This window comes from Homo sapiens, chromosome 12, assembly GCF_000001405.40.
Source record: "Homo sapiens chromosome 12, GRCh38.p14 Primary Assembly".
NCBI lineage: Eukaryota > Metazoa > Chordata > Mammalia > Primates > Hominidae > Homo > Homo sapiens.
The window spans coordinates 123,573,903-123,601,774 of record NC_000012.12 but is presented as its reverse complement, the minus strand read 5'-3'; the positions used below and the strand labels follow the sequence as shown (position 1 = coordinate 123,601,774).

Here is a 27,872-nt window from a genome sequence, read left to right as displayed (position 1 = left end):
CGTGGGCAGAGAAACGTGTCGGGGACCCGGGTTAGCAGCCCTGCAAAACAGGCACCCGCTGATGGCCGGTACGTCCTGAATGTTGCGGTCCGATGGCCGGTACGTCCTGAATGTTGGTTTACTTTCCCGGAAGTTAGGGTCAGAGTCCTAACTAAGAACACTGTCCCATTCCTCTGTTCACTGTTTGCCTGGGCCATTCATGTCCACATACAACTTCACTCAGAAAGCTGTTTTTGTTGTTGTTGTTGTTGTTGTTGTTGTTTGAGACGGAGTCTCGCTCTGTTGCCCAGGCTGGAGGCTGGGCGCTATAACGGTTCACTGCAAGCTCCGCCTCCCGGGTTCACGCCCTTCTCCTGCCTCAGCCTCCCGAGTACCTGGGACTGCAGGCGCCCTCCACCACGCCCGGCTAATTTTTTGTATTTTTAGTAGAGACGGGGTTTCACCGTGTTAGCCAGGATGGTCTCGATTTCCTGACCTCGTGATCCGCCCGCCTCGGCCTCCCAAAGTGCTGGGATTACAGGCGTGAGCCACCGCGCCCGGCCTTCACTCAGCAAACTTTTATTGACCACTCATTATGTGCCCTCTATGAGGGCCTATCTCCTCCACCTATGTGCATGGCTTGCTCCTGTTGAGGCTCTGAAAACGAAACCCCAAAATGAAGGCCCCAGAGGCAGCCTCAGAAGCAAGTTTCTCTCTGACCTTCTGCTCCCTCTCTGATCTCTGATTCTCTGAGGCTAGCCATAGAAACTCAAGAATCCCTCTTGCCCATGACGGAGCATAGAAACAGGAATCCCTTTTCTCCACAGTCAGCCATAAAACCTAAAAATATTACTCTCTCTCCACCTTTCTGTGAAAAAACTGGCCATAAAGAAATTATTGGCCTGGCACGGTGGCTCACGCCTGTAATCTCACCACTTTGGGAGGCCAAAGCGGGCAGATCTCAAGGTCAGGAGTTCGAGACCAGCCTGGCCAATATGGTGAAACCCCGTCTCTACTAAAAATACAGAAATTAGCCAGGCGTGGTGGCGCATGCCTGTAGTCCCAGCTACTCAGGAGCCTGAGGCAGAAGAATCGCTTGAACCAGGGAGGTGGAGGTTGCGCCACTGCACTCCAGCGTGGGTGACAAAGCGAGACTCAGTCTCAAAAAAAAAAAGAAAAAGAAATTATCTGGGCTAGGTGCGGTGGCTCATGCCTGTAATCCCAGCACTTTGGGAGGCTGAGGCAGGCGGATCACCTAAGGTAAGGAGTTTGAGACCAGCCTGGCCAACGTAGTGAAACCCTGTCTACTAAAAATACAAAAAATTAGCCAGGTGTGGTGGCAGGTGCCTGCAGCTACTCCGGAGGCTGAGCTACAAGCATCGCTTGAACCTGAGAAGTGGAGGCTGCAGTAATCCTAGATCGCACCATTGCATTCCAGCCTGGGCGACAGAGTGAGACTCAGTCTCAAAAAACAAACAAACAAACAAACAAACAAACAAAAAAAGGCCAGACGTGGTGGCTCACACCTGTAATCCTAGCACTTTTGGAGGCCAAGGCGGGCAGATTGCCTGAGCTCAGGAGTTCGAGACCAGACGGTGAAATCCCGTCTCTACTAAAAATACAAAAAAAAATTAGCCAGATGTGGCAGCGTGCGCCTGTATTCCCAGCTACTTGGGAGGCTGAGGCAGGAGAATTGCTTGAACCCGGGAGGCGGAGGCTGCAGTGAGCCAAGATCGCGCCACCGCACTCCACCCTGGGTGACAGAGAGAGACTGTCTCCAAAAAAAAAAAAAATGTATCTGACCTCCTTTGTTTTGCTGGTAGGTTGTAAGACCCCATTCCAGGAAGGGTTCTTTCCCCTATCCAGAAGGAAAGAATCCAGACAGGCCTCGCTGGGCTTCCCCACTCAGTCTATGAGCATTAGATCATGCCCTTCTTGTCCAGTCCTATTTCTACTCAGCTGTGCATATTTTGTTGAGCCTAAGCATAAAAATAGTTTTCCCTGTAACTTTGGGTCTTAATTCTGAAGGTTCCTTTGTCATGTAAAAGCATGACCGAATAAATTTGTATCACTTTCCTCCTATTAATCTGCCTATTTTCAGTTGAATTTTTAGAGAAACCTGAGAGCAAAGGGGAAGTTTTCCCTTACACTCCCTTACATTCCACTTGGACTTTTGAAATCAACTTCTGTTACCTTCCTTTCTGTATCACTGAAACTCCTACCTTGATTTATGTTCCCTTCTTAGCATTTACCATTATCTCTTTCTCGCCACACACACACAAACACACACACACACACACAAAACTTATTAGGTTCATCTCTGCCACCAAAATGTAAAACCCACACTAATAGGGTCTTTTCTCTATCTTCTTTATCCCAAGGACTATCACTGTAGCACACAGCAATCACTCAAATATTTGTGGGATTGATAAATGGGAATACAACTCATGCAGACTGCAGTCATCTCAAATTAAGTAAAAGACAACAGCCTGAAGCCACATTTTCAGTGAAATGATCATCACATTCTCAAAACACCTTTGACAACTTTTATAAAATGGGACTTCGGCTAGGCACGGTGGCTCATGTCTGCAATCCCAACACTTTGGGAGGCTGAGGCAGGAGGATCACTTGAGCCCAGGAGAATGAGGCCAGCCTGGGCAACATACAGGAGACTCTGCCTCTACAAAAATAATTTTTTAATTAGCTAGGCGTGGTGGTGCATGCCTGTGGTCCCAGCTACTCGGGAGGCTGAGATGAGAGGATCACTTGAGAGGTTAAGGCTCCAGTGAGCCATGTTTGTGCCACTGCACTCCAGTCCAGGTAACAAAGCAAGACCCTGTCTTTAAAAAACAAAAAATGTAGTCCCAGCTACTTGGAGAGCTGAGGTGGTAGGATCACTTGAGCCCGGGAGGTTGAGGCTTCAGTGAGCAGAGATCAAGCCAACCTGGGAACAGAGTGAGATCCTGTCTCCAAAAAAAGAAAAGGTGGGAGACTTCACAGACAGTTCTGAAAGCAAAGGCACAGGGAAATTACATATCTGTGTGTGTCTTCTGGGCTCTACTACCTACTAGTTTTCTGACCTTAAGACCCTTTCCAAGCCTGTTTTCCTCCTCACTTCCAAAATGGTTTTACCCAAGGTAATGGCAGTTTTGAAGCATGAATAAGACAGACCAAGTAAAGTGCTTAGTACTAGATCGAGACATTACACAGTACTCAAGAAATGGTAGCTACTTTTATTACCAGCAGGCCGTTAGTTTCACAGAGGAAGAACAGTTTCTACAGGTGGTGATCTAGTCTCCGGTTCCACCTTTCACTCTTTTCTGTGGCCTTGGGCAAATCATTTAATCTGTCTTTGAAGCTATTTCCCACATTCATAAACTACGTGGGCAAGTGAAAATAATTCAACCCTTTTTTCCCAAATAGAAAAATACTTAAGATTTTAGCACTGATCCATCAGAGAAGCCACACTGGAAAACCTACGCAGAAACTAAAACTTGGTACCATTCACTATCCTCAAGTTTATAGAATTAAAAAGTAACAGACGTAATAGGTATAAATACTCAGAAAACATGAACATGTCTCATGTCAAATAAGAACAGAAAGTTGGTGTGTAAAAAATGTGGATTAGCTGTCAATATATAAAACACAGAATACTGTTTTTAAAAAGAATTGTTTATTTACCGAACCTGGGGCATATTAGATACAACCAATTTTAAATTTACATCTTTTAAATCAGTTTTGAAGTGTTTCACACACACAAAAAACTTGGCATGCAACAGTTGTCCTAAGGTGAAAGTCACCTCATTAATAAACTGTTGCAAGTGTTCTCACCCAAGGTGGAAGTATGGTTTATCCTGAACATGAAAACCTGTAACAAATTTAAATTAATTATATAAAACTCGTTACTTGTAGTTTTGCCCTTGCAAAGATCCAAAAAAAAAAAAAAAAGCACAAGTAACTAATATGTATCAGTCACAACATAATCCTGGATCATCCCCATACCAAAACCGGATGCTCTTTTAATTTTAAACCCATCATCAGAGAACAAGAGAAAGTAATTTCATTTTACACAAAACAAGATTCACATGTGCCAAAAAAGAAAGACCCAAAAGAAACAAAAACCAAAACCCTAATGCTGACACTGATGGTCAGTACCCTGAACAGTGGCCCAAAGGCCACTGATCAAAAATAAAATAGTGGCTGTATATCAATGAAATGAAATCCAAGAAGCTTTAACCCTTTGGCATCAGAAATCCAGATTTTTCCAATTATGTAAATGCTTATTTCTTACATGCCAAGAGTGGGAGAAGTGAATGTGCCAATGTGGAAAGAAAAAAAGCCACCACTCACTGGGACACCCAGAGAATTGGCTTTAACAGACAATTAGGGGGTTAGGCAGAAACCCAGAAATGGTTATTAGCTGCTTGTGTCATCAATTTAAGTGGAGATGACTGAGTCCTAAGGTACAATGTAAAAATGTATGTGGGAAAATGTATGCTGAGTCGTAGTTTTAAAGCAAAACAAGAAAACAAAGTATGAAAGTACCCAGCCTGGCAGCATACACCCAAGTCAGAGAGCTCTGCCATTAGGACGGGCAGAAACCGTCAAGATTCATACTGCTGTTTCTCATAAGGACTCAACAAAAATGAATCTTTAGTGACTTGAACCATAGACTGAAGGAATCCAAAGAATGCAGTCATTTTAGTAAAGTACTATCAGGCTTTGTGCTGATTTCCTGAACAAACTGCATTATATTATGAAAACAAAAGGAAAAGAAGAAATAATAAAAACTATACTCCCATATTTCACTTACAGTGTTTGAGTTCCTGGAAGGACCTATATAATGGAGGCAGCATTCAAACAAGAAATTATGCCAATCAACTGTCAAATTTTCACTATAATTTTCCTAAAAAGGCGTTTTTCCCCCAATATCTATTAATCTCAAAGAAACATAAGTTGTGAATGTACAGTTCAGAAAATAAAAATGGAGAAACTAATGACATTATTATGACCAAGGTGTTTGGTAAACAGTGAATTCTGAGTTGGGATCATCAGGAAGAGGCTTTTTAAACAACTCTCCGGACTTCAAAAAATCTCTTCAGGTAGTAGATCTGTCCCAATGTCATGGCAACTAGAACAAGAGCTTCAAAGAAGGACCAAAGGACCACTCTGCTGTTTGTGTTGTCGTTGACTGTTGAGGACAAAACAAACAAACAAAATTTAACAATTCTCCCCCAAAAAGACATAGGCATCATAAATATTTTAGTCTTCACTCTGTGTGAAAGTAATATTGTGTACACCACTCATAGAATAGATGTTCCTCAACTTACGATGGGGTTACATCCCAATAAACCCAGCTTATGTTGAAAATACATAAGTCAAAAATATATTTAATACACCTAACCTAGCAAACATCATAGCTTAGCCTAGCCTACGTAAAACACGATCAGAACACTTACATTAGCCTACAGTTGAGCAAAAGCATCTAACAACACAAAGATTATTTTATAATAAAGTGTTGTGTATCTCATACACGTTAAACTGCATTTTATTATTATTTTCTATTTTATTTATCAAGTTAGTGAACACTGCACTGAAAGTAAAAAACAGAATGGTTGCATGGGTACTTGATGCTCAGTTTCTTCTGAATGCACATCACTTTTGCACCATCATAAAGCTGAAAATTTCTAAGTGAAGTCATTGTAACCTATGGGTCACCTATACTCTAAATACTTTTGTCTCCAAGCAACTCAACATACTCCAAAGCAAAGACTTTTTTGTTTGCTCTGTTGCCCAGGCTGGAATGCCATGACACAATCATAGTTCACTGCAACCTTGAACTGTACTCAAGCAATCCTGCCACCTCAGCCTCCTGAGTAGCTGGGAGTACAGGTATGCACCAGCCCATTTGACTAATTTTTTCTGTTTTTGTAGAGAAAGGGTCTTGCTATGTTGCCCAAGTTGGTCTTGAACTCCTGGCCTCAACTGATCCTCCTGCCTCAGCCTCCCAAAGTAGAAGCAAAGATTTTTAAAAGAAACCTTAAAGATTCACTGGGTACAGCCAAGTCCATTCTGCTTGTATATGGGGAGCAGAGAAGAAAATGTGACTTGCCCAAGGTCATAATTCTAGGGTTAAAACCCAATACAACCATCTTTCTCCCTCACCATTGAAACGTCCTGTATTAGTATCCAATTTGCTGAATCAGAAAACTGACTTCTAAAAAAATTAAGGAATTATTTCAAAATCACAGTTATCCAAAATGCAATTATTTACAACATCAAAATATGGCAGTCTGAGTGTCTTTTTCCCCAAATATGTTACAAATATTTGTTGAGCACCTGTGTACTTGTCAATTGTTCTCAATGGAAGAGGTTACTCAGTTATATGGATCCATACTGACAGTTACTACCAGACCATCAAATACAAGACAAACTATGCTCATCTGTCCTGCTCTCAAACTAAGGATTTGATCCTTAAAGTAAAATCCACACCTACTCTATATTTACTATACTCTATTTGTTACATTCAAGTTTCTGATCAAATTCTTTTTATTTACTTACTTTTTTTTGAGTCAGAGTCTCACTGTCACCCAGGCTGGAGGGCAGTGGCGCAATCTCAGCTCACTGCAACCTCTGCCTCCTGGGTTCAAGTGATTCTCCTGTCTCAGACTCCTGAGTAGCTGGGATTACACGTGCACACCCCCATGCCTGGCTAATTTTTGTATTTTTAGTAGAGATAGGGCTTCACCATGTTGGTCAGGCTGGTCTTGAACTCTTAACCTCAGGTGATCTGCCTGCCTCGGCCTCCCAAAGTGCTGGGATTATAGGCATGAGCCACCACGCCTGGCCAAATTCTTTTTATTTTTAAATGTATTTTATTATTATTATTATTTTATTTTTTATGTTTTGAGACAGAGTTTCACTCTTGTTGCCCAGGCTGGAGTGCAATGACGCGATCTCAGCTCACTGCAACCTCCACCTCCTGGGTTCAAGCGATTCTCCTGCCTCAGCCTCCCAAGTAGCTGAGCTTACAGACATGTACCACCATACCTGACTAATTTTGTATTTTTAGTAGAGATGCGGTTTCTCCATGTTAGTCAGGCTGGTCTCGAACTCCCGACCTCAGGTGATCCACCCACCTCGGCCTCCCAAAGTGCTGGGATTATAGGCATGAGCCATCACGCCTGGCCAATTTATTTTATTTTTTTAAAAACGGTCTCGTGTTGCCCAGGTTGGTCTCAAGCTCCTGACCTCAAACAATCCTCCTGCCTCAGGCTCAGAAGCAGCTAAGACTACAGGCACAAGCCATTGTGTCCAACTCTCCAGTCAAATTCTATAGCCTTAGCTTTTAATTACTATGTAGGCTGGGCACAGTGGCTCATGCCTGTAATCCCAGCACTTTGTGAGGTCGAGGCGGGTGGATCACGAGGTCAGGAGATCGAGACCATCCTGGCTAACACAGTGAAACCCCGTCTCTACTAAAAATAAAAAAAATTACCCAGGCGTGGTGGCAGGCACCTGTAGTCCCAACTACTCGAGAGGCTGAGGCAGGAGAATGGCGTGAACCTGGGAGGCGGAGCTTGCAGTGAGCCGAGTTTGCACCACTGCACTCCTGCCTGGGCAACAGAGCGAGACTCCATCTCAAAAAAAAAAAAAAATTCTATGTAGTGTTTTATTTTTCTGCAAATAGCCAACATTAAAAACAATTACACTATAATCCCAGGACTTTGGGAGGCTGAGACAGGAGGACTGCTTTTGCTCAGGAGTCAGAGGCCAACCCTGGGCAATATGGAGAAACCCAGTCTCTACAATACCAAAAAAAAAAAAAAAAAATTAGCCAGGTGTAGTGGCACATGCCTGTAGTTCCAGCTACTTGGGAGGTTGAGGCGGGAGGATCACTTGAGCCCAGGAGGTTGAGGCTGCAGTGAGCTGTATTGTCAGCACAGCACTACAGGCTGGGCAACAGAGTAAGACCCTGTGTCTCTAAAAAGAAAATAGGGCTTGGCGTGGTGGCTCACGCCTGTAATCCCAGCACTTTGGGAGGCCAAGGCGGGTGGATCACAAGGTGAAGAGATAGAAACCATCCTGGCCAACGTGGTGAAACCCCGTCTACTAAAAATACAAAAATTAGCTGGGCTTAAAGATTCACTGGGTACAGCCAAGTCCATTCCGCTTGTATACGGGGAGCAGAGAAGAAAAGGTGACTTGCCCAAGGTCATAATTCTAGGGTTAACACCCAATCCAACCATCTTTCTCCCTCACCATTGAAACGTCCTATATTACTATCCATTTTGCTGAATCAGAAAACTGACTTCTACAAAAAATTAAGGAATTATTTCAAAATCACAGTTATCCAAAATGCAATTATTTACAACGTCAAAATTTGGTGGTGGCGTGCGCCTGTAGTCCCAGCTACTCAGGAGGCTGAGGCAGGAGAATCGCTTGAACCCAGGAGGTGGAGATTGCAGTGGGCTGAGATAGCACCACTGCACTCCAGCCTGGGCAACAGAGCAAGACTCCGTCTAAAAAAAAAACAACAAAAACCAGAGAGTCTGTAAAAAGAAAATAGGCCAGACACAGTGGCTCAGGCCTGTAATCCCAGCACTTTGAAAGGCAGAGGCAGGTGGATCACTCAAGCCCACGAGTTCAAGACCAGCCTAGGCAACTCCTGGGTTCAAGTGATCTCAGCCTCCCAAGCAGCTGGGATTACATGTGCCTGGCTAATTTTTGTATTTTTAGTAGAGATGGGGTTTCACCATATTGGCCAGGCTGTTCTCTTGGCCAGGCTGGTCTCGAACTACTGACCTCGTTATTCGCCTGCCTCAGCCTCCCAAAGTGCTGAGATTACAGGCATGAGCCACTGTGCTCGGCCTAATTTTTGCATTTTTAGTAGAGACGGGGTTTCACCATGTTGGCCAGGCTGGTCTCAAACTCCTGACCTCAGGTGATCCACCTGCCTCGGCCTCCCAAAGAAAAATGCACCTTTAAGTTTAAATAGAACACATTGAAGCACAGTAACATCAGAATGTAGTGACCTGGGACACTGTCCTCATGCCACTCATATATCAGCCTGATCTAGAAGCAACACATTATTATTACAACACTGTAGTGAAAGGATCTCATTATGTTCACTGCTGAGGAGTGGGTCCTATAGGAAGACTCACAAAAACAAAACATTATGGGAACCATTTGCTTTGTAAATTTAAACTGAATGCCTATAAACTCAATTCTAGAAATTGCTAACACTTTTAAATATGAACACATAGCTCACTATTTGTGAAACAAATACAGGAGTATCTCCACTCAAATCATGGGTGAGAGAACAAGGTTGGACACCCTAAAGACGGAAGACATGTGCTTCCTCTGGCCACTGTGTTCCCAAGAACTTCTATAACTTGAAAGCCATCTGGTCTGAACCAGTTAAAATTGCAAAGTAGAGGAACTTGCCCTCTGAGTTAGTTCAGTGCCCTTCCAACTCCAGAATGGGCTGTTTCCCCATCTGGGAACAAGGTAAACAACATATGAGTCCCAACAAGATAAGAGAGAAAAAGTGAAGATCCCAGCTGGTGAGATTAAGAGTGGAGGCAAGGAGACAAAATTGTGAGGCAAGAGGCTGGAGTAATTGTAGACAAGCCTTGGTCCATAATATGCCCCACTCCACTCCTAAAACAAGTGGGGATGAGGGGAGTTCTCCAGGCTATTACATTTACACACCTTCCTGCCAACACAAGCTGATGTCTGTGCTCTAGATCCTGAAGATTTGTTTCCATAAGTAGCAAGAACAGATTTAAGGGTAGGAAAAACAGAAAGCACATCTGGAAGAAATTCAAGCTGTGCTTATCTCTTTGAGTCACTCTTCACTTCCTACTCCAGTCTCAGAACAAAGATTCCTGACATAAAATCACTGCCCTTAAGACAAGAGCTTGCTCCCAAGCAATCCCCCGCCTCAGCCTCCTGAGTAGCTGGGACTACAGAGATGCGTCACTATACCTTGCTCTTTTTCCTTTTTTTTTTTCAGACAGAGTCTCGCTCTGTCGCCAGGCCGGAGTGCAATGGCATGATATCAGCTCACTGCAACCTCCGCCTCCGGGGTTCAAGTGATTCTCCTGCCTCAGCCTCCTGAGTAGCTGGGACTACAGGCGCGTGCCACCATGCCCGGCTAATTTTTGTAGTTTTAGTAGAGGTGGGATTTCACCATGTTGGCCAGGATGGTCTCAGTCTCTTGACCTTGTGATCCGCCCACCTCAGCCTCCCAAAGTGCTAGGATTACAGGCGTGAGCCACTGCCCCCAGCCACCTTGCTCTTTTCATCTCCCCAAGAACTACCTGGAGGATGAAAACACTGAACAATGGTGTGGCCCTGAACCTAATCAATGGAATTGGTCTGTCTGTCAATATAGTACCTCTTAATTTTAAATGCAAAAGCTTCATTTTTAATGCTCTATCCAGTTCTAAACAGACTTTTGCAACCTAACACAAGATTTCAATCATCACTGTTTCCACAGCAAAATACATTCCAAATTCCCAACTTACAAACTTGAGGACCCAAACTGATCTTCACCTGGTGACTTCCCTGTACTCATGTTTTGGTGTTTTCTAGTCTAACTATATTAAGCTTTCCATTTTAGTAAAAAGGTTAAATCTCAGCATCTAATATTAATCCCACTGGTACATAAGTTTCAGGTATGTGATTAAAAACCAATGCAATACGCATTTTACAACATTTTTCCCTTCTGATTTAAGAAAACAATTAGCTTATTCCTTAGCTCACCATACATTTTTAAAAACCCAAACTTTTTTTTTTTTTTTTCCCTGAGACAGAGTCTAGCTCCATTGCCCAGGCTGGAGTGCAGTGGCCCAATCTCAGCTCACTGCAACCTCTGCCTCCCGGTTCAAGTGATTCTCATGCCTCAGCCTCCCGAGTAGCTGGGACTATAGGTGCACGCCACCACACCCAGCTAATTTTTTTATTTTTTGTAGAGACGAGGTTTCACCATGTTGGCCAGGCTGGTCTCGAACTCCCAACCTCAGGTGATCCGCCTGCCTCAGCCTCCCAAAGTGCTGGGATTACAGGCGTGAGCCACCATGCCCGGCCAGAAAACTAAACTCTTAAAAACTTGTACTAAATCTTAATAGCATTTTCTAGTTTACAATGAATGTCCCAATAATAAACTACAAAGCTCCACACATGTGTATGCTCAAAAAATATCTCGTGTAGGTACACTTTTAAAGTCAATGCTTTCACATAAAATTTGCAAAGTTTCCAAATGAGGAAAATACGAGCAAGCTGTTGAGTAAAACAACCTTCACCATCAGACACTGCTGCAAAGTGACGGCATTCACTTACTGGCTCTGTGTATTCTCTCCCGGACTTCCATGTATTCCTGTTCGTGCTTTACAGCTGTCATCGCCACTGCTAGCTCATTGATCATTTCTTCTAGCTTGTTCTGGTGAGCTATAGAAGGATTTGAAAACAAAACACATTTGTCAATGTCTTTTTTTTTTTTTTTTTGAGACAGAGTCTCGCTCTGTTGCCCAGGCTGGAGTGCAGTGGTGCTCAATCTCAGCTCACTGCAACCTCTGCCTCCCAGGCTGAAGCGATTCTCCTGCCTCAGCCTCCAGAGTAGCTGGGATTACAGGCACACGCTGCCACACCCAGCTAATTTTTGTATTTTTAGTAGAGACGGGGTTTCACCATGTTGGTCAGGCTGGTCTTGAACTCCTGACCTCAGGTGATCCACCTGCTTGAGCCTCCCAAAATGCTGGAATTACATGCGTGAGCCACTGCACCCAGCCATCTTTTTTTTTTTTCAAGACAGGATCTCACTCTATCACCCAGGCTCAAGTACAGTGGTGCAATTATAGCTCACTGTAACCTAAAATTCCTGGGCTCAAGCAATCCCCTGCCTCAGCCTCCTGAGGGGTGCGTCACTATGCCTGACTACCATTTTATTTTTATTTTTTAGAGACGGGGTCTCGCTATGTTGCCTAGGCTGGGGCAATCTCTTTTTGAAAAACACTTATAAAATAAATATAAAATATAAAATAATATAAAATAACTTTTCAAAATCCTCAGAGAAGGCCTGCAAAAGAAGCTACTTTTGAAATGGTTCAAACATCAATTTGGACTACTGATATGAATCATGTCAATTTAATTCTCAAAGCATTTTTAAAAGTCCCTTCCCAGTAGAGAAACCTCTTTCAGGGTAGGAAACATACTATATAATGCTTACTAAGGAAAGGAAAACAACCCCAGGAAATTTCTTCTAATGGAATGTTGTTATGTGAAGTTCACTATACTGACTATTAACTACAGCAAAAGTAGTAAAACACTGAGGAGAGGGGACTAAGAGCACAAAATAAATACCTGTATTTTTAAAATGTAATCCTACAAATAAAGTCTAAGAGTCATGTAACTCTAATATTAATTAAGAAGCAGGAGCAGCACCAAAACAGACTCTTAATCTCTATAAAGCTGAGCAGAGAAAAACATTAAAACGCTCTTAGGAAAATCCACACCAACTCAAACATTCTTCTTTGACAAAGTAATAGTTTCACTATAGTGGGGAACAGCAGGCAATGTAAGTAGAGAGACAAGCCCTTAGCGGCACAAGTTTTCAACCAGGCATCCCTCTTGAACCAAAAATACACACAAGGCACTGTTCTGAAGAGTAAGCATGTGCTTCTAGGTAGTGCCACGTTATGAGAATGAACAGACAGGCAGGAGAGAAACAGCACCAGGAAACCTTCCTGGGAAAGGGGGATCTCTTCATCCCTGCCCAAGACTGGGTCTCTTCTGGGATTCCAGATTCTCGCAGACAACCCCAAGTTTCTTAGGAGAAACCAAGGGCCTCTACCATTGAAGGCAGTTGAATTGGAATGTCAAACCGTCCCTCACTCGAAATTTCCCTTTGGAAGCCCCATGCACCACATGGAACTGATAGAGCAGGGTTTCTCAGCAGTGGCATTGTCTCCATTTTGGACCAAATGCTTTTCTATGCTGTGGGGCGCTATCTGATGCACTATAGGGTATTTAGCAGCCTCCATGGCCTCCAGTCCTAGATGCCTGTAGCACCTACCCCCAGTCTTCCGAATAAAAAATACCTCCAGATATTGCCAAATATCCCCTGGGCATCCTCACTTGAGAACCACTGCTTTAGAGGAAGGCTTGATTTGACAGCTGCCATTCACTGACATTAACAAGCAAAAGCAAGAATTTTGGATATATGTTAAAAAATTATCTAAGAAGTTCAATATTCACATTCATCAACCAACATTTTCAAACTATTTAAGTAGGATCAAACTCCAGAAAATAAACCAAAAAAGCCTTTCAGAACTCCTCATTCTCCCTGAAAATTAGTCAAGTCCTACCCTATAAGTGGCCCTGAAAAATGAGTGCAGGAATTACTAAGTAGTAGGACTCTCTAAATTCTATAGATTTCAAAATCCAACCAAACAACTCAGCTTCTTTATGATGTTAACACTCTACTGATACTGAATATCTGGGAGAAATGTTACCACGCTAATAGTATACTATGAAATGTGTGAAACAATGACTAGCTTCAAAAACTCTGGCATGCACTGTGGGGAAAAAAAAAACAAAAAAAAACACCACCAAATGTGCTGGCTCCCGGTAAGCAATTTATCCAGAACCACCAAGAACCAATCAGGGTTTATTACTGGTAACCTGAGCAATGAACACTCTAACTGCAACATATGGCTAAAAGAACTCTTGTCTTCATATCAACATATGGCTCCTAGAACTGCATTTCATATCCAACTAAGCTTCAGGTTAAGAAGTCTACAAAATGACTTTCTACAAAGTCAAAGGCACCATTTGCTATGAGCTATGTTTAATTGGGACTTCTGTCCCCTTATCATTGAATTTCCACTCTTTAGCATTCATCTTAAAGAACAAAGATGTTACTACTAAAATGTCAACTGTGTTTTCAGTGCTATTAGTTTAAAATAACCTAACCTATACCTCCTGTCAACGAAATAAAAAACCACCAAAAAAAATATCAATCCAATTAGTTGTAGGGGTTTTTTAAGAGAAAAAAACACTCTCATGCCAACAAACTGAGGTTAGAAAAAAGAAAGCAGAAATTAGACATTAGCAAACAAAAAGATGCAAAAAGGATGCTGTCAAAAAGCAATCCACATACCATCCCAGGTATCTCCACCACCTAAAGAAAAGTTAAGATATCTTAACACAAAAAGAACCAACAAAAAGTTTAGCTAAACTAGTCATGTATACAAATGAGCAAATAAAGTATATGCCAGGATTAGCAAATAAACAGAAAAAATAACTGAAGACACATGGAACCTACATGCTCACAAGAGCACAAAATGACTAAGAAAATCTGTTAGAAGGGACAAATGTAAAGAACAAAAAAATCCCAGCACTTCAGAAGGCCGAGGCAGGTGGATCACCTGAAGTCAGGAGTTTGAGACCACCCTGGCCAACATGGTGAAACCCCGTCTCTACCAAAAATACAAAAATTAGCCGGGCATGGTGGCATACGCCTGACGCTACTTGGGAGAATCGCTTGAACCCAGGAGGCGGAGATTGCAGTAAGCCAAGATCACGCTACTGAACTCCAGCCTGGGCGAAAGAGCGAGACACAATCTTAAAATAAATAAATAAAAGAAAAAAGAACAACAAAAAAACAAACACTAGCCTCAAGAAACTTTTTTATTAATTAGGAGACTTGCAAAAAATAAAAAGCGTATTTCACAAAAAGGTTTTGGTTAAGAAATTTAAAAAAAATAAGTACTCCACTCAGACAGGTAAAAATGTATAGAACTAAAATTAGCTCTTGGAATGTGATGTAAATCTTCTGAATGTTCATCTCACCTTCTGTTTCCATATCTTGTCCTTTTGGAGCCTCCCCAATATCAATGGTGAACATCACTATTTTTGGAGTCATGGTGGACATCCGGTTACTAAAACAAAATTTGTATGTTCCATCCATGTGAGCAGCAAATGTGTATTTCCCACTGGATTCTCTGTCTCCTTTGTAAATTCCTTTGTTATCTGGTCCTGTAATCTGGAGGCAAGAGAGAAATGCATAAAATGTCACAAAAGATTAAGTCATAGACTTTATAAGTAATGTCTAATGGCAGTAAGAAATTCACCAAGAATATGGCTGGGCATGGTGGCTCACGCCTGTAATCACAGCACTTTGGGAGGCCAAGGCAGGCAGATCACTTGAGGTCAGGAGTTCAAGACCAGCCTGGCCAACATGGTAAAACTCCGTCTCTACTAAAAACACGAAATTAGCCGGGCATGGTGGCGCACGCCTGTATTCCCAGCTACTCAGGAGGCTGAGGCAGGAAAATCGCTTGAACCCGGGAGGCAGAGGTTGCAGTGAGTCGAGATCGTGCCACTGCACTCCAGCCTGGGCGACAGAGCGAGACTTGGTCCAAAAAAAAAAAAAAAAAAGAAATTCACCAAGAATATGTAACTTTCACTTAGCTTCACTTCGGTAAGTGATAATAACCATTTTGGGCTGCAATTCTCCCACTTTATAAAATAAGAGTTGACTTCATGGCTTTCTAAAACACCTTTAGGTCCTGACATTTATGTCTTATTTATCCTTATTAAACCCCTCAGAAACAGAAAGCTCACCTTAAATGTGGTCTCTAACTGGCCTAATATCACCAACAAACATGGAACTGTGACTGATAGCAAAACTCAAGAAAAAAGAAATCTCTTTAAAATAAAGAATTTCTGCATCCCTGGTTGACATCTTGATTGCAACCTCATGAGATACTCCAAGCCAGAACCACCCAGCTAAGCCTCTCCATAATTCCTGGCCACAGAAACCATGAGGTAATAAACGTTTGTGGTTTTTTAAAATATAAACAAGATGAATTTTTATCACATTTCAAGGTTTTCCAGATTACTGCCAAACAGTGAAGGAATTCTGCTTTATCTGAGATGCCTGAAGGCTTAGGGGAAAGGACTAGCCTGGAAATGAGAAGACCCAAACTCTCATCCCAGTCTGCTACAAATCAGCTGTTAGGCTGTGATCAAGTCAGTCGCTCTTTCAAAGTGCATGTCACTTGCATAACTTCGAGACTGTAATAGTTGATCGCTAAATTCTTAGCTAAGTGTAAGAGTCTCTCCCTTCCGTTATCCCCTTATTTTTGGATTTCACTTGTATTGTGTAACTTGTGCCCAGCCCTACTGAGTACACTGTCAAATGGAAACTCCTTAGACCCAATTAATCATGCTAGCAGGTGAATTAAAATAAAAACTAGCAACACATCATTCTTTTGGTTTACAAAACATGAGTGGAGATTTAGGGACTGCTGGTTTCTTAAACTCCTGTCTTCTCCTGATACTTCACTGCACTGCTTACTCCTAAAACGCATGACCCAACTCCCCATCTCTCCTTGGCAGAAGAGACTAAACGAGGTAGCTGGAGGCGTAAAGAGTAGAACCTTAAGGTTGCTTCTATGAAAAATAAACACAACGCGAAAGTATGCCTAGCACTCAATAGGTTTTTAATCCTCAATCGATTTTAATCAATTTTTTGGAAAAGTTTCCGTGCCACGTTCCAGCATTAATCCGTAACACGAAAGAAGGCAGGTGCTAACTGGATAGAGACCCGCCACCAGCTAACTGTGACTGAGAAGCGCCTTTGGGGCCCGGACTGACACGCGGCGCCTGATTCACAAAGCTCAGCGAGAGGTTCCAACAGGAACCCGTCGTTCAAGGAGAAAACCCAAAGCAACCAAGCATGCCGAAGGAGCCCCCAAGGGATCCCGGAACCCAGGCAAGTCGCGGGAAAAGGGGCCGTTAGGAGGTCGCCGTGGCCGGGGCGGGGCGGGGGGTGGCGGCCTGGGCTTCTCCAGGACTCGGACAGCGACTTCCAAGCCCACTCCCCACACAGGCCCCGCGCCGGTCCCAGGTGCCACCAATCCCCGAGTGGCCACGCGACCAAGCCTCAGCTGCGGGCAGCTAGCCCGCACCTCCACGTCGATGTCCAGGAAGCCGCCCTCCGCCACCTCGAAGATGAGGCCCATCTTGGTGCCCGAGGTGACCCGCTCAAAGAAGCACTCTTCAGCATGGGCGTCGATGCTAACGAAATAGCCCGAGACCGTGGCCAGGAGAGCGGCCAGAAGCACCAGCAGTTCAGCAAGCGTCACCATGGTGGGGCTGAGGCCGAAGCCAGGACCCGGACTGCGGCCTCCACAGCCGCCGCCGCCGCCGCCGCCGCCGCCCCGCTGCCTTCTCAGCCACCGCCGCCTAAGCTCCGCCCCTTCCGCCTGCGCCACCAGTGGGGGCTGATGCGGGCGCAGTGGATTGGCGGGCTCCCGCAGCTGCCACGTAAAGGGAGGCACGGCAGCCGCCGAGGGACAAGCGACTCTGCGCGGCCCGAGCCTGGACGGCGGCTCCGAAGGACCAAAAATTTTTCCCTAGTCCTTTCTCGTCCAAGCTAAAGTTCCTGTGGACTTCCCAGGAAAACGACAGTGTCCGGAAGCCTCTGCAATGCCCTCTTAGGATTGTCCAAGAAGATGGCGAAACATTTGCAGGCAGCGATAGGAGTTGAGGGAATGTGCGGGCTGAAACTAAGGTTTTTTTCTTTTGTTTTGTTTCGTTTTTGAGACGGAGTCTTGCTCTGTCGCCCAGGCTGGAGTCCAGTGGCGCGATCTCGGCTCACTGCAACCTCCGTCTCCCGGGTTCCAGAGATTCTCGTGCCTCAGCCTCGCGAGTAGCTGGGATTACAGGCGTGAGCCACCACGCTTGGTTAATTTTTGTGTTTTTTGTTTGTTTGTTTTTTGAGACGGAGTCTCTTTCTGTCGCCCAGGAGTGCAGTGGCGCGATCTCGGCTCACTGCAACCTCCGCCTCCTGGGCTCAAGCGATTCTCCTGCCTCAGCCTCCTGAGTAGCTGGGATTACAGGCGCCCGCCACCACGCCCGGATAATTTTTTGTATTTTTAGTAGAGACGGGGTTTCACTATGTTGGTCAGGCTGGTCTTGAATTCTTGACCGCGTGATCCGCCCTCCTCGGCGTCCCAAAGTGCTGCTGGAATTACAGGTGTGAGCCACCGCGCCCGGCCAATTTTTTTTTTTTTTTATTTTTTAGTAGAGACGGGGTTTCGCCATGTTGGCCAGTCTGGTCTGGAACTCCTGACCTCAAGTGATCCGCCCTCCTCGGCCTCCCAAAGTGCTGAGATTACAGAAGTAAGCTACCGCGCCAGGCCTGAAGCCATGGGTTTTGAGGGGTGTTTATTTGTTTGTTTGCTTAGAGATGGGGTCTTGATCTGTCGCCCAGGCTGGAGTGCGGTGGCGCGATCATAGCTCACTGCAGCCTCCAACTCCTGGGCAAGTGATCCTCCTGCCTCAGCCAACCCAATAGCTGGGATTACAGGCGCGAAGCCCACTGGTTTTTAGGTTTCATGTTGCCTCTCCCACCCCCTCTCCTTCCAGGGGACTGGGGAACGGTGGAGGCTCATATAGACCTGAAAGGGGCACGAGGGATCCTCCCAGGTTGCTGGAATCTCTAGTATCTTTACCTAGGTGGTAGATACGTGGATGTCTACATTTTTTAAAAAAATCAATTAGACTATTACATTTTTATTTTATTTTGAGACAGCTTTTCACTCTTGTCACCCAGGCTGGAGCGCAATAGTGCAATCTCAGCTCACTGCAACCTCCACCTCCGGGTTTCAAGCTATTCTTCTCCCTTAGCCTCCCAAGTAGCTGGGATTACGGGCGCCTGCCACCACACCCAGGTAATTTTTGTATTTTTAGTAGAGACGGGTTTTCACCATGTTGGTCAGGCTGGTCTCGAACTCCTGACCTTCAGATGATCCACCCGCCTCTGCCTTCCAAAGTACTGGGATTAACAGGCGTGAGCCTCCACACCCAGCAACTATTGCATTTTATTTTACTGTATGTATGTAATACCTTAACCACACACAAAAAATTACCTTGTTCAAATTTTCCAGAATTAGAATTCTACCAGTTCCCCAAAGTCTTGCTGTTTCTCCATGCCCCTTAGCCCTTACCAGCTGCTAGAGCTGTCTTTTCATCCTTTGCACCCTGGCACACTCCTACTCATCCCTCAGAACCCAAATGTCACCTCTTATCTCTAAAATGTTCCTTGACATCCTTCTGCCAAATACTAGCCCCTTCCTCTCTGTTTACAATGCAGATTCGGTCCTAGTGAATTACTGTTATTTTCTACTCTGCCTCACTCATGAAGGCACAAGACTTGATTTACATACGCTGTCCTCTTCAGGCCCTGCCACAGGGCCACAGAAGGACCTCACACATTTCATGTCAATTGAGGTCACTGGACTGACCTGGGAATGAGGAGCCTGGGTTGTTACTCCACTTTTGCACATAGATGTGTGACCTTGATTATTTTCCACCACGTCCTGGCCTCGGTTTCCTTATCTGTTAAAAGGGAATGACACCACAGGCCTTGCAAAATTGAAGGGATTATTTCTTTGAAGACCAACAGGCGATAGGGGGCAGTAGTGTCCCAGGATCCAGTTTCCCGCTTCAGGTTTCAAGAAACAGGAGCAGCTGCAGTGATGAAGTTTTCCCGACTATGACAGTGTACAGTTGACCTTGAACAACGTGGGGGTTTGGGGCACCGACCCCTGCACAGTCCAAAATCCTGGGGTCTTTTTTTTAATTTGACATGGAGTCTCCCTCTGTCGCCAAGGCTGGAGTGCAGTGGCGCGATCTCAGCTCATTGCAACCTCTGCCTCCCGGGTTGAAGCAATTCTCCTGCCTCAGCCGCCCAAGTAGCTGAGATTACGGGCGCCCGCCACCATGCCCGGCTAATTTTTGTATTTTTAGTAGAGACGGGGTTTCACCAGGTTGGCCAAGCTGGTCACGAACTCCTGACCTCAGGTGATCCACCCGCCTCGGCCTCCCAAAGTGCTGTGATTACAGGCATGAGCCACTGCGCCTGGCCTCATTTTTGACTCCCCAAAAACAACTTTTTTTTTTTTTTTTTTTTTGAGATGGAGTTTTGCTCTTGTCGCCCAGGCTGGAATGCAATGGCACGATCTCGGCTCACTGCAACCTCCACTTCCCAGTTCAAGCAGTTCTGCCTCAGCTTCCTGAGTAGCTGGGATTACAAGTGCCCACCACCACGCCTGGCTAATTTTTATATTTTTAGTAGAGACTGGGTTTCGCCATGTTGGCCAGGCTAGTCTCGACTCCTGACCTCAGGTGATCTACCCGCTTTGGCCTCCCAAAGTGCTGGGATTACAGGCGTGAGCCACTGCGCCCAGCCCAAAAACTTAACTATTGACAGCATACTGTTGACCAGAAGCCTTACCAATGACAGTTGATTAGCATTTTGTTTGTTTGTTTTTCGTTTTTGTTTTGAGATGGAATCTCGCTCTGTTGCCCAGGCTGTAGTGCAGTGATGTGATCTCGGTTCACTGTAACCTCTGCCTCCTGGGTTCAAGTGATTCTCCTGCCTCAACCTCCCAAGTAGCTGGGACCACAGGCACCCGCCACCATGCCAGGCTAATTTTTGTAGTTTTAGTACAGATGGGGTTTCAACATGTTGGCCAGGGTGGTCTCGAACTCCTGGCCTCAAGTGATCCACCCACTCTGGCCTTCCAAAGTGCTGGGATTACAGGCATCAGCCACTGTGCCTGGCCAATGACAGTTGATTAGCATATTTTGTATGTTATATATATTACATGCTGTATCCTTACAATAAACCAGAGAAAAGAAATTGTTATTAAGAAAATAATAAGGATGAGAAAATATATTTACTCTTCATGTAGTGGAAGTGACTCATGGTAAAGCTCTTCATCCTTGTCATCTTTATGTTGAGTAGGCTGAAGAGGAGGGGAGGAGGAAGGGTTGGTCTTGCTGTCTTGGGGGGTGGCAGAAGTGGAAGAAGTGGTGGAGGTGGAAAGAGAGAGGCATGAGAGGCGGCATACTTGGTGTAACTTTTATTTATTTATTTATTTTTATTGAGATGGAGTCTCGCTCTTTCGCCCTGGCTGGAGTACAGTGGCTCAACCTCGGCTCACTGCAACCTCTGTCTCCCAGGCTCAAGAGACTCTCCTGCCTCAGCCTCCCAAGTGGCTGGGATTACAGGCGCCGGCCACTATGCCCGGCTAATTTTTGAATTTTTAGTAGAGACAGGGTTTCACCATGTTGGCCAGACTGGTCTCGAACTCCTGGCCTCAACTGATCCGCCTGCCTCCGCCTCCCAAAGTGCCAGGATTACAGATGTGAGCCACGGTGCCCAGCCAGGTGAAAAAAATCCATATATAAGCGGACCCATGCATTTCAAACCTGCGTTGTTCAAGGGTTAACTGTATTATTGAACTGAAGAGTTCTACTGGTGATCCCCTACTTCCCCATCTTCCAGACTGGCAGACATCCTGCTTTCCCTGGCAGGTCAGTTCTGTAATGTGACTCCAGTGCCGTCACTGGAGGGAGACAGCCTAGAGCCTCTTCCTCTATCCTTAACAACACATTGATACGCCTGTTTCCCGGATGTCTCTTTCAACTGATAATATCTTTTTTTTTTTTTTTTTTTTTGAGACAAGAGTCTTGCTCTGTCGCCCAGGCTGGAGTGCAGTGGCGCGATCTCTGCTCACTGCAAGCTCTGCCTCCTGGGTTCACACCATTCTCCTGCCTCAGCCTCCCGAGTAGCTGGGACTACAGGCGCCCGCCACCATGCCCAGCTAATTTTTTGTATTTTTAGTAGAGACGGGGTTTCACCGTGTTAGCCAGGATGGTCTTGTGGTCTTGATCTCCTGACGTCGTGATCCACCCACCTTGGCCTTCCAAAGTGCTGGGATTATAGGTAAGAGCCACTGCGCCCAGGCTTTTTTTTTTTTTTTAACTTGAGATGGAGTCTCGCTCTGACTCCCAGGCTGGAGTGCAATGGTGCGATCTCAGCTCACTGCAACCTCCGCCTCCCGGGTTCAAGTGATTCACCTGCCTCAGCCTCCCAAGTAGCTGGGATTACAGGTGCATGCCACCATGCCCAGCTAATTTTGTTTTTGTATTTTTTAGTAGAGACAGGGTTTTGCCATGTTGGCCAGGCTGGTCTCGAACTCTTGACCTCAGGTGATCTGCCCACCTCAGCCTCCCCAGAATGCTGGGATTACAGGTGTGAGCTACTGCGCCTGGCCTCTGCTGATAATATCTACAGAGGTTTCCTCTTAAACCAATGGATGCAGCCCCTTTTGTTTTCTATTTTTGTTTGTTTCCTTTGAGACAGGGTCTGGCTCTGTCACCCAAGCTGGAGTGCAGTGGCATGAACACGGCTCACTGCAGCCTCACATTCCTGAGCTCAAGCAATCCTCCCATCTCAGGCTCTGCAGTAGCTGAGACCACAGGCACATGCACCCACACCCAGCTAGTTTTTTTGTTTTTGTTTTTGTTTTTGTTTTTAACTATTTGTAGAGATGGAGGTCTCCCTATGTTACCCAGGCTGGTCTCCAATTCCTGGGCTCAAGCAGTCCCAAAGCACTGGGATTACAGCCGTCAACCACCACTCCTGGCTTTTTTTTTTTTTTTTTTTTTTGATACAACCCTTTTTGACTTCCCAAGCAACCCAACTGCAGAAGAAGGCCAAGAACAATTTTGATTTTATCTAGAAATTCAATGTTAATTTTCGGCTTTGAACTGATTAAATAATAGTTCTAAGTCCACTTATCAAGGAATTAAAATGCGGGGCTGGGCGCAGTGCCTCATGCTTGTAATCTCAGCACTGTGGGAGGCCAAAGGGGATGGATTGCTTGAGTCCAAGAGTTCAAGACCAGCCAGGGCAGCATAGCAAGACCCCATCTCTACAAAAAATACAAAAAAAAAATTAGCCAGGCATGGTGGCACGTGCCTGTAGTCTCAGCTATTTGGGAGGCTGAGGTGGGAGGATCACCCAAGCCTGGGAGATCAAGACTGCAGTGAGCTGAGCTGTGATAGTGCCACTGCACTCCAGCCTGGGTGACAGAGTGAGACCCTGTCTCCAATAAATAAATAAATAAATAAATAGTGGACATTTTTAGGATCTCGGCGGAACACAGTGAATTGTATATTGTAGGGTTTTATTATATAAATCGGGACTCAAATTCAAATGCCTTCAGGGATCAGGCAGTTTATATGAATCAGAGATGGCACTAGCATAGGCAGTAGGAGCGGGGAGGATTGTGGCAAACTGGATCATAGGATGTCATACCTAAATACATTCAATTCCAATGTCTGAAAACACACTGGTAGCCAAACCAAAGATGCAGCCAGAAGTCACTAAGTTTATGGTTTACGTTATAAATGTAATTGACTATGTTATCTGAAATCAGAAAAGAGATAAAGGTAACTCAATCACAGTACTGTAAAATGATTGCTATCAACTGCTTGACGTATTTCTTTTGACGGCTCTAGTTTTTTGTTCATTGGTTTTTTGGTTAGCATTGTTGTAGCTATATTTACTCATCAGGTGTTTTTCAACATTACTGTTTCAGGATCTGCAGTCAAATTTACCCAGAGGATCCCAGGCTCTTAGGACTTGACAGGTCACCCACAGTAAAGGTGCCTTTTTTTTTTTTTTTTTTTAAGACAGTCTTACTCTGACACTCAGGCTGGAGTGCAGTGGCGTGACCTTGGCTCACTGCAACCTCTGCCTCTGGGTTCAAGTAATTCTCGTACCTCAGCCTCCCAAGTAGCTGGGATTACAGGTGCCCGCCACCATGCCCAGCTAATTTTTGTATTTTTAGTAGAGATGGGATTTCACCATGTCAGCCAGGCTAACTCCTGGCCTCAAGTGATCCACCTGCCTTGGCCTCCCAAAGTGCTGGGATTACAGGTGTGAGCCACCATGCCCAGCCTTAAATGTATACTTTTTTTTTTTTTTTTTTTTTTTGAGATGGAGTTTTGCTCTTGTCACCCAGGCTGGAGTGCAATGGCGCAATCTCGGCTCACTGCAACCTCCGCCTCCTGGGTTAAAGCGATTCTCCTGCCTCCGCCTCCTGAGTAGCTGGGACTACAGGCGCCTACCACCATGCCTGGCTAATTTTTTGTATTTTTAGTAGAGACGTGGGTTCACTATGTTGGCCAGGCTGGTCTCGAACTCCTGACCTCAGGCGATCCACCCACCTCAGCCTCCCAAAGTGCTGGAATTACAGGCATGAGCCACTGCACCTGGCCAAATGTGCATTTTTAAGGTTATCACCACAGATTGATTGGCATGAGCTCATGTGCCATCAGGTGCATGAATCATCCAACAGGACAAACAGCTGGCACATGGTGGGTACTCCATACATATCTGATGGATAATGAATGAACCTCTTAACTGCCGTCTGGCCCAGAACTGACCAGGTGGTAATCAGTGGTCAGTGAGGTGCAACATGAACTGGGCCCTCTCTGCTTCCCTCCCTTTTCATCCTGCCTTATTGAGATACAATTCATATACCATAAAATCCATCCTTTTAAAGTGTTATATGGCAGATGCGGTGGCTCATGCCTGTAATCCTAGCATTTTGGGAGGCCGAGGTGGGCGGATTGCTTGAGGTCAGGAGTTCAAGACCAGCCTGGCCAACATGGTGAAACCCCATCTCTTCTAAAAATACAAAAAAAAAAAAAAATTAGCCAGGCGTGGTGGTGTACGCCTGTAGTCCTAGCTACTCAGGAGGCTGAGGCAGGAGAGTCACTTGAACCCAGGAGGTGGAGGTGGTAGTGAGCCGAGATTGCACCACTGTACTCCATCCTGGGCAACAGAGCGAGACTTCGTCTCAAAATAAATAAATAAAGTGTTATACTTCAGTGGTTTCTGGTATATTCTCAGAGTTGTTCAAACATCACCACTATCTAATTTCAAAACATCTTATTGCCCCAAAAAAGAAACCCTGTACCCATTAGCAGTCATTCCCCAATCCCTCCTCTGCCCAGCCCTGGCAACCACTGTCTACTTTCTGTTCTGTGGATTTGGAGTAGAATCATATAGTATGTGGCCTCTTGTGACTGGCTTCCTTCTCTTGGCATGATGTTTAAAGGTTCATCTACATTGTAGTGTGTGTCAGGATTTCATTTCTTTTTGTGGCTGAATCATATTCCATGGTATGCATGCACCACATTTTGTCTACGGATATTTGAGTTGTTTCCACATTTTGGCTATTATTAATGCTGCTATACACATTTGGCAGAGTGCAGTAGCTCACACCTATAATCCTAGCACTTTGGGAGGCTGAGGCAAACGGATCAATTGAGGCAGGAGTTTGAGACCAGCTTGGCCAACATGGCAAAACCCCGTCTCTACTAAAAATATATAGCCAGGCATGGTGGTGCATGTCTGTAATCCCAGCTGTTCAGGAGGCTAAGGCACAAGAATCGCTTGAATCCGAGAGGCAGAGCTTGCAGTGAGCCAAGATCGCACCACTGCACTGACAGTGTTTCATCATGTTGGCCAAGCTGGTTTCAAACTCCTGATCTCAAGTGAGCTGCCCACCTTGTTCTCTCAAAGTGCTGAGATTACAGGCATGAGCCCCTGCACCCAGCCTGCATAACTTTTTTTAAAAGGCATTGTTGCCTTGTTCCCTTGAATCACTTTCTCTGGGAAACTAGCTATCATGTCATGAGGACACTCAAGCAGCTCTGGGAGAGACCCCCTGTGGCTAGAAGCTGTGGATTCTCACCAACAGCCATGCAAGATTCCCCAGCCCCAGTCGAGCCTTCAGATGACCACAGCCCCAGCTGATATCTTGACTGCAATATCATGAAAAACCATGTGTCAGAACTGCTCAGACATGTTGCTCCCAAATTCTGGACCTGCAGAAACCATGAAAGACAATAAATGATTATTGCTGTTTTAGGTCACTATGTTTTGAGCTAACTTCTTACACAGCAATAGATACTAATGCATATTTTAACCAGTTTCCTACATTAAAACCTTTCTGTTGGAAAGACCTGGAGTGTGTTTTATTTTTCTGACTGATACAAACTCCTGTCCTGAATTGTAAACCAAGAGTGAAAAAATAAGAAAAAAGAGTAAAGAAGATGGAATATCTAAATACAGTCATGTGTTACTTGATGACAGCAATACATTCTGAGAAACATATGGGTGGCAATTTTGTGGTTGTGCAAACATCACAGCATCTACTTACACAAAACTAGACAGTATAGTCTGCACACCAAGGCCATAGGGTACAGCCTATTTCTCCTAGGCTACAAACCTGCACAGCATGTGACTGTACTGAATACTGTAGGCAATTGTGACACACAGGCATTTGTGTATCTAAACATAGAAAAGGTAAAGTAAAAATATGGTATTATCATTTCAAGAGACCGCTGCTGTATATGTGGTCCATCGTTGACTGAAACATTGTCATGTGGTGCACGACAGTATTATAAGGATGACTTATAAGTGAATGTTGGGAATGTGGCTTATAGATGTAGCCAAATATGGTTGCACAGAATACCGAAGCACGGAATTACACATACCGAGCCGGTTTTGTGATTTGCCCTCACAGATACTTCAGGATGAGAGTGGGCTTCTGTGGGCAGACCCTGATCATATAAAACTATGGTAGAAGGGGACAGAAGAGCTGGTTCCCAAGAGAAAGGGGAGGGGAAGTGGCTGGGTAAAGCATGCCCAGTTTGTCCTTCCAAACTGAGCATTCAGATTAAGCTAATTCTGCTTCCAAAGGAGGAGTGAGCAAGGCCATGGGAAGACATCATGAGAGTTATCCTAGGAGAACTCAGTCTGGCTTAAGCTAAAAAGGGGTAGATGTTCAGGTATAGCTGAATCCAGGGGCTTAAAGGATGTTATCGGGCTTGGTGCGGTGGCTCACGCCTGAAGTCCCAGCACTTTGGGAGGCCGAGTCAGGTGGATCACCTGAGGTCAGGAGTTGGAGACCGGCCTGGCGAACATAGTGAAACCCTGGCTCTACTAAAAAATACAAAAAATTAGCCAGGCATGGTGGTGTGCCTTTAATCCCAGCTACTTAGGAGGCTGAGGCAGGAGAATCGCTTGAACTCAGGAGGCAGAAGTTGCAGTGAGCCAAGATCACACCACTGCACTCCAGCATGGATGACAGAATAAGACTCTATCCAAAAAAAAAAAAAAAAAAAAAAAAAGATGCTATGATTCTCTCTCTCTCTCTCTCTCTCCCTCTCTCTCTCTCTCTTTCTCTCTCTCTCACTCCCCCCTCTCTCTCTCTTGATTTCATTCTCAGGAAGCAATTTCCCCTGCAGTGGCAGGATGGATGACAATGACTTATTTTTTTATTATTTTTTTTAATACAAAGTCTTGTTCTGTCACCAGGCTGGAGTGCAGTGGCGTGATCTTGGCTCACTGCAACCTCTGCCTCCCGGGTTCAAGCGATTCTTCTGCCTCAACCTCCTGAGTAGCTGGGACTACAGGCAAGCACCACCTTGCTTGGCTAATTTTTGTATTTTTAGTAGAGACGGGGGTTTCACCATGTTGGTCAGGATAGTCTTGATCTCTTGACCTTGTGATCCACCCACCTCGGCCTCCCAAAGTGCTGGGATTACAGGCATGAGCCACCGTGCCCAGCCAACGATTTTTATCTTACACCTTATGCCCCAGCAGCCTAGTAATCCCAGTTGAAAGAGAGCACATTTTTCCTAATATTTATCACAAAAAGTCTTGGGATTGGCCTCCTTGGGCCAGTTTGGGTCACATGCCACCCCTAATCACTGTGACCAGAGGAGAAACATGCCAACCCCTGCAGTACTGGGGACACGTTTGCAGATGGCAAGAGCACCCAAAGCACATGGCTTGAGTGGGAGAGAGGTGACTCTGCAAAGCAAAGTCAGGATGCAGTTAACAGCTGGAAAGCAACAAAAATACAACGTGCACTACAGGTGGCAATGAGCTGATGCTGAAAGATAATTGGATTTCAGCAAACAATGACAGATGATGGAGACGGATT

The 27,872-nt window shown here is 45.0% G+C and overlaps 1 protein-coding gene and 2 long non-coding RNA genes across 4 annotated transcripts, besides 2 other annotated features; 2 read left to right on the top strand and 1 right to left on the bottom strand.

Moving 5' to 3' along the window:
• Positions 1–3,192: 3,192 nt before the first annotated feature.
• TMED2 (transmembrane p24 trafficking protein 2) lies at positions 3,193–17,223 on the bottom strand. 2 transcript variants are annotated; one of them, NM_001321445.2, is made up of 5 exons: positions 16,959–17,223; positions 14,836–15,028; positions 14,144–14,164; positions 11,326–11,433; positions 3,193–5,170 (listed from the first exon to the last, which is right to left on the bottom strand). In NM_001321445.2, the coding sequence occupies exons 1-5, from the start codon at positions 17,136–17,138 to the stop codon at positions 5,046–5,048; spliced, it is 627 nt and encodes a 208-aa protein (NP_001308374.1). In that variant the 5' UTR covers positions 17,139–17,223; the 3' UTR covers positions 3,193–5,045. The 2 variants fall into 2 exon arrangements, with proteins under 2 accessions (NP_001308374.1, NP_006806.1); NM_006815.4 differs by lacking the exon at positions 14,144–14,164.
• Positions 17,358–17,677: an enhancer, noted in NCBI's record as "active region_7271". NCBI's record gives its function as "activates an Ori minimal core promoter by ATAC-STARR-seq in GM12878 lymphoblastoid cells {active_cell/tissue: GM12878}" and the evidence as "EXISTENCE:reporter gene assay evidence [ECO:0000049][PMID:35858748]".
• TMED2-DT (TMED2 divergent transcript) lies at positions 17,448–20,709 on the top strand. The gene is made up of 3 exons (NR_110049.2): positions 17,448–17,563; positions 18,077–18,174; positions 18,608–20,709. It is a non-coding gene; the product is annotated as a TMED2 divergent transcript (long non-coding RNA).
• Positions 18,108–18,217: a silencer, noted in NCBI's record as "silent region_5047". NCBI's record gives its function as "represses an Ori minimal core promoter by ATAC-STARR-seq in GM12878 lymphoblastoid cells {active_cell/tissue: GM12878}" and the evidence as "EXISTENCE:reporter gene assay evidence [ECO:0000049][PMID:35858748]".
• A 2,198-nt stretch (positions 20,710–22,907) lies between the features above and the next one.
• LOC124903042 (uncharacterized) lies at positions 22,908–25,883 on the top strand. The gene is made up of 2 exons (XR_007063503.1): positions 22,908–23,514; positions 25,543–25,883. It is a non-coding gene; the product is annotated as an uncharacterized LOC124903042 (long non-coding RNA).
• Positions 25,884–27,872: the final 1,989 nt, after the last annotated feature.

Bases quoted from the DNA above. Each gene is read 5' to 3' on its own strand.
- TMED2 (NM_001321445.2), bottom strand. From the start codon at position 17,138: ATGGTGACGCTTGCTGAACTGCTGGTGCTTCTGGCCGCTCTCCTGGCC. The intron at 15,029-16,958 runs GTGCGGGCTAGC...TCTTGCCTCCAG, and splicing joins TCCTGGACATCGACGTGGAG to ATTACAGGACCAGATAACAA. The intron at 11,434-14,143 runs GTATGTGGATTG...ATCCTTCTATAG, and splicing joins TGGTGGAGATACCTGGGATG to CTCACCAGAACAAGCTAGAA.